The 14753-nt window shown below is 40.7% G+C and overlaps 1 protein-coding gene across 2 annotated transcripts in view; it reads right to left on the bottom strand.

Annotated features, from left to right (window-relative positions):
- Window positions 1–14753, bottom strand: part of CXCL13 (C-X-C motif chemokine ligand 13) — a 100082-nt gene that overhangs the window by 2051 nt on the left and 83278 nt on the right. The window contains exons 2-3 of one of the 2 annotated variants that reach the window (NM_006419.3): window positions 3855–3960; window positions 1949–2081 (exon numbers count right to left, since the gene is read on the bottom strand). In NM_006419.3, coding sequence (NP_006410.1) covers window positions 1949–2081; window positions 3855–3918 — 197 coding nt within the window. In that variant the 5' untranslated portion in view covers window positions 3919–3960. Of the gene's footprint in view, window positions 1–1948; window positions 2082–3854; window positions 3965–14753 lie in introns of those variants that run through there. The other variant, NM_001371558.1, reaches the window with a different exon arrangement.

The following is a 14753-nucleotide window of genomic DNA, read 5'->3' as shown; positions in this document are numbered from 1 at the left end:
CATGACCTGAGTGATTACCAAGTGCCAGATATAGTGTTAAATGCTTTATCTGAAGTGGAAAAGTGAGGTCTGCCAGACAGCAGAAAACTGGGAGACTCTACCCTCTATTGGTGTGAACTCAAACAAAACACAATTTCCTTATATGTCATTTATCTTAGTTATAAAATGACAAACAGCCAGCAGCATGGTAGCTCATGCCTGTAATCCCAGCACTTTGGGAGGCTGAGGTGGGCGGATTGCTTGAGGCCAGGAGCCTGGGCAACTTAATGAGACCCCATCTCTACAGAAATAATAATAAAAAAAACTAGCTGGGCATGGTGGTGTGCACCTGTTGTCCCAGCTACTCGGGAGGCTGAGGAGGGAGGCTTGCTTGAACCCAGGAGGTTGAGGCTGCAGTGAGCCATGACTGTGCCACTGCACTCCAGCCTGGGCAGCAGAGTGAGATCCTGTCTCAAAACAAAACAAAACAAAACAAAAAAAAAACCCAAAACACAAAAAACAGAAACAAACCACAAAAACCCCAAAACAATAAAGACAAACAGCAAGGATCCATCCATCTAACTCTGAAACTGCACTTTTGCACGTAAATCTTAGAGAGGTCACAGGACATGGAGCAGTTGGGTTTTCAGATAGACACTTCCAATTGGGTTTCTGAGTTCATGATGGAAAGACAGATTTCTGATCATCTGGACTCACGGTATTTTCACCTGTGACTGGCATGAATTTCTCACAATAATTTGAAACTTTCATTTCTGTATCTGGTTAAAATTCACAAATGCAGAACTTGATGAAAAGATATAAAATCAGATTTTTGTCATTTCAAAACAATCAAAGTTAAAGCAGAGAAAATTAAGGTGCATTACCTTCCTTGGTTGACAGGCAAGAGACCAGTCATGACAGAGGAAATGGAATCAAAAGAAGGGGGTCCCAGTTTTCTAAACAGCCAGGGGAACTACTCCCAAGTAGGTCATGGCTAGACTTCACATCTCTGAGTTTGATGCCAATAATTGTAGTTTAGTTAGACATTATTGTTAAAGACGTTAGTGAAATGCCTTTCTAGTGAAAAACTACCATATGCACTTTTGATATCCCATATTTCAACTGGTCCAAGGCCCCAAGCACTGGTAACAAAATGTGACAAAGAGGAAGTAGCTGCTTACAAACATTGCAAAAATCTAAAGAAGTCCATGGGAAAAGCCACTCATGAATGCCAAGTCAGGGATGCCCTGAGAAAGATGCTGTGCCTAATACTTCAAGGTGTCGCAAAGAAGAGGCTTTGCAACGGGGAAAATGTGAATGGAGTCCTGGCTAATGCACTTTCTTTCTTTCTTTTTTTTTTTTTTGAGATGGAGTTTCGCTCTTGTTGCCCAGGCTGGAGTGCAATGGCGTGATCTCGGCTCACCGCAACCTCCGCCTCCCAGGTTCAAGCGGTTCTCCTGCCTCAGCCTCCCAAGTAGCTAGGATTATAGGCATGAACCACCACACCCGGCTAATTTTGTATTTTTAGTAGAGACGGGGTTTCTCCATGTTGGTCAGGCTGGTCTCGAACTCCTGACCTCAGGTGATCCGCCCTCCTCGGCCTCCTAAAGTGCTGGGATTACAGGCGTGAGCCACCACGCCTGGCCACTAATGCACTTTCTAATCCTTTCTGATGGTGTGTCTCAGGCAGTTAGTTAACCTTCCTAAGCCTCAGACTGTAAGGAACAATAGACTTACCTTAATAAAGTGGTTGAATAAAGAAAATGAGTATGTGCATGTAAAGCACTTAGCTCAGGGCTGCTGCAAACTAAGCTCTTAATTATTAACAATTTTCATTATTAGTTTGAGAATTTTTAGCAACACTCAAGTAAATCTCTTCGACATTCTTGAGTAAGACTACTGTATGGTAACATTTGATCTGATTTCATTGGGAGAAGGAAATCTTATTTATTTTTCTCTTGAAACTTACATGATTTCTTTTCTTGGACAACCATTCCCACGGGGCAAGATTTGAATTCGATCAATGAAGCGTCTAGGGATAAAGACTGAGCTCTCTTGGACACATCTACACCTCAAGCTTGTGTAATAGACCTCCAGAACACCTGTAAGTAAACACAGAATCAGTTATTTTAATCCATTGGCATGTAATTCATAACTAGAATTTAATTACTAATCTTTCATAACGTGCATTTGAAGACTTAAAAGTTTCAAGTCAGTGCTTCCACCCATATGTCTTTAGTTTGTATATTTCTGCTTGTCTTGGCTTGAGTATTTTCAAATGTTTTCTACCAAAACTTTAAAAATAAAGTTAGCTTTTAGGCCAGGCACAGTGGCTTACACCTGTAATCCCAGCACTTTGGAAGGCCAAGGTGGGAGGATTGGTTGAACCCAGGAGTTTGAGACCAGCCTGGGCAACAAACGGAGACCCCATCTCAGAAAGCAAACAAACAAAGCAAAAAGAAAACAAAACAAAAATTAGCTTTCAAAAAAACACAGCAATTTTGAAATTTGTGATAGTGTTATATTTGTACTCAGGTGATAGTCCACATAATAAAATTTGAGAACAGCCTCTGTAGGGACTTACAACTCAGTTATAATTAATGCAATATAAAACCAGTGGATTATCTTCACTCCCAACACATAAAAACCGAGGACATGACCTGGCTCAAGAGTCCTGGGAGCAATAACATGCTGGAACAGAGTTTTCTCTATCAGACTCTCTGCCATCCTCCCCTTTCCTCTCAGAAAATGTCACAGACGTTTTTGTTTGATATGTTGGTCCTCTGTCTGGGTTGCAAATCATTACAGAACAAAAGGCAATCATAAAAATTCAAAAGTCTTTTTATTTAACAAAAGCAATTAATACTGGATGGGTACCATTAGTATCCATCTCATGAATTTTAATGGGATCTAATGAAATCTAAGCCAAAGACATTTATCAGATCTTTTCTATCCAGCCTACTACTGTGCTTGACATACATTTATAAATAAAAAGGCTCACCTCTCAAGGTGTGTACAAGTTAGTAGGGGAAACAAGCAAACAAAAACTAAAATACCACAGAAGGTTGTATTACGCTCAAAATCTAACATGCATGCTGAGAACAGAAGATGTACTAAGAGCTACCTCTGCCGGGAGCCATGGGAAAGCCCCGTGGAGAATGCAAGAAATTAGGGTTTTGAAGAGTGAAAATAACATGTGAAGCAAAATTAAAACTGGGGGACAAAGCTCCTCTGTGTTTTAAGAACAAAAATTTGGCCTTCTAAATCTGAGCAGAAGGCTTCTTTCTGCACATATCCATTTCTTCGGCCACATAAAAACTTACTACTTCAACTGGATATTTATCTATTGACACAAAGATAGCTGCCCCACTTAGACATGGAAGTCTGCTTCTTTGCAGAATGTGTGTAAATACCCCTGGTGTACTGACAGTGGTGTACTTGATGTCAGATCTAACCATTTGGAGTTACATGAAGCATGTTCACTGCAAGAGACCAGTAGAGTTCAATAATCTTTAAACCCTGTATAGGGTTTGGTCAGAGTGGGTAACATTGAGAGGCAGAACAAAGAAGAGCTACATGTAAAGAATTATATATAGCAGGAGCTGAATCAGAAAAAGGCTGGGAATATATAATTCACATGAATATTGGACTTGTGGTATCTCTTTTTGCTATAAATAAAAATCTTAACAATATAAATACTTCCAGTTTTGAAGAGTTAAATTCCTAAACACCTTACTTTGAGAAATCTAGAAGGAACAGAGCAGTTTTTTCCCCCTTTAGTCAGACTTCCCTGCGGTTTTTAATCGAAAGAAAATTGAAGTGGTTAAAGACTATTTCTGTTCAACAAACAGTGAAATGTAAATGAAATTTCTCACCTTGGACTGGAGAGAGGCTGCTGACCAGCAGCATGAGAAGCAGAGATGTCGAGATGAACTTCATTCTGTCTGGAGGTAGAGTTCAGACTTGAGCTCTGAGTCCAGGCTGTGGGTTTGCAGTACCAGAGACTCCTATTTATTTATACCAGTAAGGGCCCTCCCACTGCCTTTGTCTCCAGTAGGTCAGCTGCATCATCAGCTTTAAAAGCCCCCAAATATTGCTGAGCTTGCTTTTTTAAAACTTCTCTTGCAAACTTTATAAATTTGTTTCAGAGCACTATAATAAAATATTTCTTGCAAACATGGACTATAAGTGCCAGAGACACTGGAGAAATCTGAGGGTGGGGAGAAAGGATAATCTATCAGCTTGGAAGCTCCAAAGCACTGTCTTTAGTAGCGCTATTGGTGATGGTGGTTTTGAGTGCTTCTCTCAGTGCAGGGTGAGCCAGGTTTCTCAGTGGCATTAGATATATACTCCATGACATTGGGGACTCCGTCGAGCGCATCACGTCCCTAGCATGTGGAAGGGATTCCGGCCTTTGGTAGGTGCTCAGTAAATATTTGCACAGCAAATGAATGTCTCTTTATATACAGATCCTAACGCTGATTATGCTATTGATTTTCCTACCAGTCTTTTCCATCTCTTATTTTGCTATCTGAAATATATGATTACTTATATAATCTGACCATCATGGAATTCTTAGAAGGGGGCAGTAGGAGTCCCCTGCTTTGTGTGCCTGTGTCTGCATGAAGGGAGGGAGACAACAGCCTTGAGGAAGAGAATCTCTCTGGCTGTCGTGTGCAAGTCCATGAGCTTGAGAACCATGTGGCAGGGGAGGGAGTCATTAGAACTGCATTAGAGGGTGAACCCCATATTACAGTCTGACATAAACATATGTGAAGTTAGGTTTTGATCCCACCAACTAGTCCATGGGGACAATCAGCCCACAGCTTATCCCATTTTCTAGAAGCTCTTTGATTAAAAAAAAAGTATGTAGACTGGCTAGTCTGGCCTAGAGTACCACTAAACTGCCCTGGAAGTGGACAAGGATGATGTATCAAACCAGACCCACTGATCTGCTAAGAAATCAGAGGTTTGGGCTTCCTGGCGCGATTTCCTAAACAATTTGGTTTTTGCTAATCAATTAGCATTGTGGATGTTTAGCATCCCAGGTGCCTCAGTATTCATGGGGGTAGAAGTGGAGGAGTGGTAATGCCACACAACCTTCACACAAAAGCAGTTCTCCAGTCAGCCTGAACGCAGTGACAGGGCACTCATTGATCTTGAGGCAGGTTATTCTATTGTTTGGCACTTCTAGTTGTTACGATGTTCTTCCTTATGTATATGTGAAAGCTGCTTCCCTAGCAGTTTGTTTATGCTTGTGTTGTGATAAGGGGTTGAATTTTGTCCTAATTCAACCCCTTATCACAACACAAAACAATTCTAAACAGTCTTCTATATGATGGCAATCCAAATATATGAAGGCAGGGTGTGCCAGTTGTGTCCTCTGCAAAGCAGATGCTGAGATGGACATTGGAGTAAAAGAAGGTTATTCAGAACAACTCCTGCGATAGACAGAAGGAGGAAGGAGGCTGAATTGGGCAGGGGGAGCCTCAGATTGCAATGCTGATCTGGTGAAGTCTACAACAGCTCAGTGGGGAGCTCCAGAGGAAAGACTGTTTATTAGAGGGGCCCATGGTGGGCAGAAATGTTCAGACTCTTCTACCCCAACCGTGCTCGGTCCTTAGCTGGGCCTCCTCAGAAACAACATGGTCTCTGGTTGAAAGCTGAAGCAGAGCCCGAGGAGGTTATCAGTAGAGGCTGTCAGCTAACTGCACTCCTTGCCGCTGGCCAGCAAGTTATTTCTTTAAGAGAGAGTTGAGTAGGCCACCTTTGAGTGTCACTCAGGGTTATAAACTAGAGGTTAACAGCACAAAGTCTGAGCTCAGCCTGGCAATGACTTTGGACAGGTCACTTAATTTCTCTATGCCTCATATTTACCACTTTCCACATGAGGATAATAGGAATTCCAAAGGGTTGTTTGGAGAAGAAAGCACCTGGTATATGTAGAGGGTTCGGCCAAATACTGGCATGTAGAATGTATTCAATAAATAGCCTGCCTGTCTGTCTGACTATCTAATCTGTTTGGGAAAAAACTGCTCCATTGCTTCTACATTTCTCAAAGTGAGGTGTTTAGGGATTTAACTCTTCAATCCATCCACCACCCCCATCCATCCATCTGTCCATCCATCCATAAAAGATCTTACTAACTTCCACTCCAAAACCCACTTCAAAAGTAAATACTCCTATTTCTTTGAATTGATAACAGTTTGAAACTCTCTCACCATCTTGGTTTACCTTTTTGAAACCTGTTGATCTTTTCCATTGTTCCTCATAAATTATAACTACCTTCCCTTTTGCCTCTCCATCACACTCTCTGACTCACAGCCACAGACACGCATACACTTAAATGCATACATCTGAACATTGTATTACCTCAATTATGGCTTTGCCAGTACAAGCTAGAGGAAGCCCATTACCTCCTTTGTCCTAGCACTATTCTTCTATTAATAGATTCCTAGACTGAATAACATTATTCTAGTCACTTATATTGAGTTGGTAGGCAATAACATTCCTGTTTTTGAATGGTCAATTTCTTACAGTGTCTAATTCATTTCACTCTTTTGTGATATGATCTTGAGACCCAAGTATAGAAGTTTTACATTTACCTCTAAGTACTATATATTTTCTTGTGAGAGCAAAAAAATGAGTGATACTGACAAGAACGGGAAGAGTATAGGGACAAAGTTACCTGAAAGAGAGCTCTGAATAAACCTAGGAAACTCCTAAATTGGCTGCTATTAAAAATAGGACCACCAGGTCAAGGAACTAATTGCAGAACAATTCTAAAATCTGACTTCAGTTTCTTTAATGCCCAGAGCTCTGGATTTAGCTTATTTAGACCAAAGAAGCCTTATTCATGTCTGCCCTAAGATGGGGCTGGAGGTTGGGCAGCTCTCTGATAGCCAGATGATTCTAGAAGTTTCAAGTCCAACACTACATGATATCTTATGGTAGAGGTATAAATTTCAAAAACTCTGATGACAAGAAGAAAAAATATTTAAACAAATAGATTTAAAACTCAAATGGAAACAATTTATTTTTAAAATAGATTTTATAGATACCCTTGTTTAGAAACATAAAAATACATAACTTGGTTTATATCAAACCTGATTTTTATCATCAGATACATAAAATGAGAAAATTATAGGGAAGTTTTTTTTTTGCTTCACTTTGGAATCGAATCAGATTTTCTTTCCAGACCCAAGCATAACTGGGTAATTTAGAACCTTGGTACTTAAATTGTGATCCAAGGACTGGCATCATTAACTTCACCCGAGAGCTAGTTTAAAATGTAGAATCTCAGGTCCTGCATTCAACGAGATTCTCAGGTGGTTTGAATGCATGGGCCTGGTCTAACATAAGCTGCATAGTTTGCTGTGGCATGCTATTTCTGGATAAAGATATTATGCACATTCAAATTATCTTCAGAGATATGTTTGGACAAGACATTTCCTCAGAAAATGATGCATAGATACCTTATTTTAGTAAAAGTGGACAGGACACATCCACTGTAGATGTCAGTACTCACTGACATCTAAATGCAGAGCAGTGACAAGAAGGAAACTCTCTCTCAAGATATCAAAAAGTGAAATGTCACTAAAACAGTGAGATGGCATAATTGGACAAAGTATCTGACAATCTAGGTAGTCAACAGGTATTAAACAGAGAGTTAACGGTAGAGTTTCACAGTGATTAAATAAAGTAGTTTGTAGTAAGAGATAGGACAAATGTCACTGTGATACAATTGAGAACATTTTCTTTCATGCCACTCAACTAGAAAACAGAAACTTACTGTATCCTGTTAACACATGTTTTAACCTGCTGAACATCTGACATCTGTTTGCTCCCACATAACTTTCAGCACAATAGAAAAGTATTATAACCTTGGAGGTGAGAGCTCAGGCTCTGAAATCAGACTGGCTCGGTTTGTATCCCGACTCCAACACTTATTTGCCTTGTTAACTTCCCCAGGCCACCAGTATCAGTAACATCATCTCAGGGGATTGTGTAGGTTACATAACAGTGCTTGGAAAGTGTTTTACTCAGTGTTGGGCAAATAGCAAACACTTCAATAACTGTTAGCTGTTTCTTTTTAACCTTTGTGAAAACACAAAAACGTGAAGTACATGAAAAAGTAACTTTGCTTAGTTTGCAAGTGAAGCTCCTGCTGTGAATTAAAATGTCACAGCATTTAGGTTTCCAGTAGGCACATAGGTGATACTTTGAGATTATGACTCCAGAGTTCTCTGGTTAAAGAGCTGTTCTTCTTTGACGCTGATCATCCACACTTTGTTTTTACCTACTCTCCTCACAAGTTACTTGTAGAGGTTTGTTATTTCATACAAATGTACTGAAGTTTTACACAGGGGGTGTTTTATTTTTTTTCATCATTTTCTTTTTATTTTACCATTTTTTAAACAGCTTTATTGAGGAATAATTTATATAAAAAGAACTGCACATATTCAGTGTCTGCAATTGGATGAGTTTGGACAGTGCAAATCCTGTGCATTTTGCCATCATTTTCATCTTGAGCGAGCTGCTTTCAACAGCCTATTTTTTGCCACACCATGATTTCAAGACCTATACCTGCAGAAAAGACATTTTTCAAAGGTAATTAAATTCATATTTCAAGTGTTGTTTAAACCCAACTTAAATGCAGGGAAGCCACCACAAACCTAAAACGTGTGTACCGAAAGCTATTACCTTGTAGGGTGGTGATTCCCCAAGAGACTGCTAGGTGGCAGCATTACTTACAGAAACAGTTTGCGGGAAGGAAAAGGTCTGTCCTCAGGTAAAGAAGACCCTGCCTGTGTGCTGACCAGAAGGGGTGTGTTGCATTATTTCAACATTCAAATCATTTATTTGATTTGACTTATTGCTTTAAAAATATTGTGAGGTTTGAGATTTTTTTGATTAGGCTGAAATATTCATGAAGGAGGGGAGAAAAACCCCTAAAAATCTGAAATAGTCCAACAAATTCTTGCCCAAATCCAACTCCTTATTCCTGAGGTTGCAAAATCAGATTGCATATTGGTCCTCTGGCATGAGATCACATTCGGCCTCAGCAGTGGCTGGGCTTGTACCTTCTGTGATTAGAAAGATTTCTGAGAACAGTGAGGCCACCACATACCAATGTCAAAGTGATCAAGCAATTGTGCTTTTGCTTTTAAAGCATAGTGCATGCAGTGAGCATTAGCAAAATACTCATCTTGTTTCTCCTCTACTGACGCTATAATGTAATCATATGTCATCATATATAATCATATGTCATGTAGATAATAAGTCATCATCTACTTTTCTCATTCGGCATATATTTATGTTATAACCATCAATGAAGACCTGGACATTATAAATAAAAGTCAATAGTTTCATTTTCCAGCAAGAGAACCCTTATGCAATTTTGAAAGTTTTTGGCATATCACTTTGTTCCCTTGATATCAGCTAATCTGCAAACCTCAGGTGCCCCCAAGTAATCTTCTCAGTGTCATATTGCTTTGCTCTTTTCTCTTCTTCATCTAACTAGCTATTCCGCTCCTCTCACTGTGTACTCTCTCCCTAGGGGTGTGTGTCTCTTCCCAGTCCTTCAAGTTTACATGTAAGTCCTCTCACATTGGTATCTATTCAATAGCCTAATTACTGGTCATTTCTTCATAGAGGCCTCCTAGATACTTCTCACTAATCATATTATCCCCAAACTGAACTTAGTGTCCTCAAAACCTGCTCTATCTCCAATATTCCAAGTCTTAGTAAATGGTATCATCATTCACCCAGTTGCTCAAAAATTTGCTTAAAAACCAGGGAAGTTATCTTGAACTCCTTCATCGCCTTTAATCCCCATATCTATTTGGTCTCTAAGAGCTGGCACTTGTATATCTTAAAATAGCCTGACTTTCTCCACTTTCCTCCCGTTTCACTGCTAGAAACTATTCCCAGCCACCATTGTCCAACTACTTCAATAGCTTGCTAACTGCTCTTTTCCCATCCCCAATCCCAATCCACTTTCCACACTGCAGCCAGAACCATCTTCTCAAAACACAAAGCTGTTTGTGTCTTTGCTGTGCTGCAAAGGCTTCCCACTATCCCCTGTGTGGAGAAGTCCTTAGTGGATCCTGGTGCTCTCTCCAACTTCCTCTGCTGCCTCATCCCTTTGCTGTCCACCCCAGTTCTCACAGATGGGGTTGAGGACTCTTTGCAATCACTTTGACCACCACTAGGGGCCTGAAGTTCACAGGTTGAATATCTTCTCCAAGTACTCCAATTTACGTTCCAAATGAATACAGTCGGCCTTCCTTATCCATAGGGTTTCACATCTGTGGATCCAACCAACTGTGAATCAAAAATATTTTAAAAAGGACCATGTCTGTTCTGAACATGTACAGATTTTTTTCTTGTCATTATTCCCTAAACAATATAACTATTTACATAGTGTTTACATTGTATTAGGTATTATAAGTAATCTAGAGATGATTTAAAGTATACAGGAGGATGTGCACAGGTTATATGCAAATACTACCCCATTTTATATCAGAGACTTGAGCATCTATAGATTCTGGTATACACGGGAGTCTTGCAACCAATCCTCACGGATACCAAGGAAGGTTCATTGGCAGTACCTAGATATTGTTAATGTTTTTTTTCCTCTAGCTCTACTCCTAAGACTCCATTTTTATTTACCTTCAGTAATAGTGTTGGGGCTGGCCGGGTGCGGTGGCTCATGCCTGTAATCTCTGCATTTTGGGAGGCTGAGGCAGGTGGATCACCTGAGGTCAGGAGTTCAAGACCAGCCTGGCCAATATGGTGAAACCCTGGCTCTACTAAAAATACAAAAATTAGTCGGGCATAGTGGCAGGTGCCTGTAATCCCAGTTACTATGGAGGCTAAGGCAGGAAAAATCACTTGAACTCGGGAGGCAGAGGTTGCAGGGAGCCGAGATCATGCCATTGTACTCCAGCCTGGGTGAGACTCCATCTCAAAGAAAAAAAAAAATCATTGTGTTGGGGCTAGGCCAAAAATGGGACATGAATATTTTCAAAGCTTAGAGTTGGGCGACACCTCACCTTCCTTCTGTAGAATGTGTTCACTATGGAGTCTCAATGTGTTAGTGTATAACGAAGAAAAGTTTTCCGCAATAACCTGCCACTCTACTATATTGCCTCTCCCTTTCTGGTGGTGTAGCATCTCTCATGAGGCATCTTCCAGATTCCATAACATCTTTTTGTCACTTTTTGTTATTCAAATAGTCTTATTTCTTTGTTGAATAAATTTCAATGTTTGATTCAAAGCTCTTCTCTCTTCCAGCTAACATAGATGAAAACTTTGACTATAGAGGCTTGGAGTGGGTGAGAAAAGCATAGTCTGGTTGTTCTATACTTCCCCTTCCCTCTTCCAGGCTCTGAAAGGGACGAAGGGATTGGGGATGGAATGGTTATCTTTCATGGCAAGACGACAGGCACTATCCAGCCCTGTTACTCCCCACTGCTCTCTGTTAACTCTATGGATGTGGCTGAATCTCTCTGCAGAGTCTCCCTAATACAGTGCAAACTAATATGGCAGACTCGATTCTGAACCAACGGCTTCCGCAAATCTTCAGCTGCTACCACAGGAGCATATTCCACAGCCCCTTGTTGCTGGGATCCCCTTGCTCCATGCCAGTCCTTTGGAGGCAGTATACTGTCAAGACAGGCAAGCCTGGTCATCTCCCGCAGTGTCCACATGACCCACAGAAGACTTGCTTTGCCAGACAGTAGAAAAACAGGCTGACTCAATGGTTCCCTTTTCTCAGCTTCTTGTCTTCCTGTCTCCCCTTCTCCAAGCTCCAATGACATCAAGCACTCTGCTGCTTTAGTGGCTTGCCAAAGTTCCGAAGAGAAATGAGAGGGCAGGGATTCTCTTATACACCTGGCAGTCTCCCAAAGCTCTCTCACCTCTCCTAGTCTTTTCATTTCATTGACTTAGGTGCTGGTGGTGGGCAGGTGCCTCTTGGTAGTCCCTGTGGGTGGTCAGCCTTGGTGCTGCTGGTGCTTTGGACATAGAATGTGGCCACAGAGCAGATCCTGTTGCCCACCCAAGAGCCATTTGTGCACTTCCACCATTCTAATAGACCCTATTCATTTGAATATTCAACTTCTTCCATATTCCAAGACTCTTGGTGGGGAAATCTTTATTTTCTTAAGCCAACCATGAGAATTTCACTTTTCTAAGGAATTGGGGTCTGGGAAAGAACTTTTTTACTTTAGCTCTTAAAACAGGGATAATGTAAAAGGCGGCCCCTTCCTGCCTTAGGAAATTGTCCTCAGGCTAGATTCACTCATGGCACAAAGTGGCTGCATCAATTCCAGATGTTACATCCAGGTTCAACAAAACCAACACATGGAGAAGCTCCTTGCCAAAAGAATGGAAATCTTTTTTAAAATGACATATTGCTTTAGTTTATGCAAAAAGATTAAAAAATATACTATTCAAAATGAATGCATTCCTTTTGCCCCCAGGGGAAAACCTAAGTATCAATACATTAAAAAAAATATGATTTACACAATTAGCTGGGAAGTCTACAGAGCTTCAATCTAATAATCAGTAAAATATTCCCTCTGAATCAATTAAAAATGTTTTTAAGTAATCTATCATTTTTTAAATGTTTCTCTATTTCCCCCACCTCCTCACCCTTGATAACCACTACTCTGCTTCTATATGTTTGACTGTTTTGGATTTCACATATAAGTGAGATTATGCAATATGCTTCTTTATGTGTCTGGCTTATACTACTTAGTGTAATGTCCTCCAGGTTCATTCGTGTTCTTGCAAATGGCAGCATTTTCATCTTTTTAAAGGCTGAATAATACTCCACCGCATGTATAGATCACATTTTTCTTTACCCGTTCTTCCATCAATAGACACTTAGGTCATTCCCACGTCTTGGCTATCGTGAGTAATGCTGCAATGAACGTGTGGATGCAGATATCTCTTCAGGGTATTGACTTCTTTCTTTTCTTCTTTTTCTTTTCTTTTTTTTTTTTTTTTTTGAGACAGAGTCTCACTCTTGTTGCCCAGGCTAGAGTGCAATGGCGCGGTCTCAGCTCACTGCAACCTCTGCCTCCCGGGTTCCAATGATTCTCCTGCCTCAACCTCCCCAGTAGCTGGGACTAGAGGCACCCGCCACCATACCCAGCTAATTTTTGTATTTTTAGTAGAGATGGGGTTTCACCATGTTGGCCAGGCTGGTCTCTAACTCCTGACCTCAGGTGATTCGCCCACCTCAGTCTCCCAAAGTGCTGGGATTACAGGCATGAGCCACTGTGCCCAGCCCAAGGTATTGATTTCATTTTGTTTGGGTGTATACACAGAAGAGGGATTGCTGGAGCGTATGATAGTTCTATTTTTAATTTTGGAGTAACCTCCATACTATTTTCCAAAATGACTGTACTAATTTACACTCCCACCAACAGTGTACGTGTTCCCTTTTCGCTACACTCTTGCCAACAGTTACCTCTTGTCTTTTTGATAATAGCCATACAAACAAGTGGGAGGTGATACAGAGATGGTCTTACTCAAGACAAAACCTATACCTAGCAATTTTGGTTACTTAGAAAATCATCTTAATGGACACACACTGTTAGTGTTTTTGCTTGTCAGCTTTAGATCTTAGCTCCCTTCCGGGACAACAGGAAAAATTCCATTGTATTTCTTGTTATACTGCCTTCTATCTGCCTCAGTAATATGAAAAGGGACTTTGTTTTGTTTGCAAAAAGTAACAATTTGTTGAGTATGATTAGGTCAACAGAGGGAGTGGTTAATTCCCCATTTGTACCCAAGCTGAAAGACTGTTTGGACCCATGGGAGAGGTGTTTGAGTGCCAAATTGAGGAGCCTCTATGTGATCACATCTCTGGATGCAAGCATGCTTGTTTGGAGCCCAGGGGACATTGTCTTAGGAAGTGGGACAGAAAACTGGGGAGAGAGTCCTTCCCTCTAACTGCTCTGCAGACAACAGTATAGCTCCAAGACTGTGAAGGCTCAGGGTGACAGAACAGCATCCTCACAGGAAGCCTCCACAGGACAGCAGTGATGCTTTTGATAAGAAGGCTAGAGCAAAAAATCGCCAACAGTATTGTTTCATTATTAGGGTGCTCTTTGGGGGTGCAGGACAGAGGCCCTATAGGCAAGTAGGACAAAGTTATATACGTGGAGTATTAACACCTACATGACTGCATTTATATTCAAAGTCTGTGGCTTTCACACTTTTATGCCATACTCTCCTATGTGTCACAAACAAAGAAAGGCTTATTTGATCTTCCCGCATGGTTCAATTTTACTCAGGGTCCAAAAGTGAACTAAATCATGGCCATTGCTCTGTTCTTGCCTTCAGATGAGCAAACTATCTTGCAGGCAATAAGCAATGTACAAAAAAGATGTGGTCTGTGGTACCGAAATTTTAGCATCCTTAGTGTGTGTACTTGGGTTTCTAAACTCAATACATCCTGGCCCTGAGTTTAAAAGTACAAACTAGGGATACTTTTACTCAAGGTGTCTCAGAGTGGTGGAAATTTTCTAAGACAACATGTTTTCTTGATTATAGCATAAGAGGTCTTAGAAGATAACTCAAAAACAGCGGCTGCCCGTAGTACATTAAGTGAATGGAAACTAGGGGGCCATGCTGCCTCCCTGATATGCAAAGGGACTTTGTGTCACTGGTAAAAAAAAAAAAAAAAAATCACCTAAAACCAAAAATGATGTGCTGCTGGTAAATGCTTTACAACCAGCTTTCTGGAAAATATAAAG

The sequence above is a fragment of the Homo sapiens genome, chromosome 4 (assembly GCF_000001405.40).
Source record: "Homo sapiens chromosome 4, GRCh38.p14 Primary Assembly".
NCBI lineage: Eukaryota > Metazoa > Chordata > Mammalia > Primates > Hominidae > Homo > Homo sapiens.
Note: the sequence above shows the minus strand (reverse complement) of the source record. Positions and strands in the feature narration are given on the sequence as shown.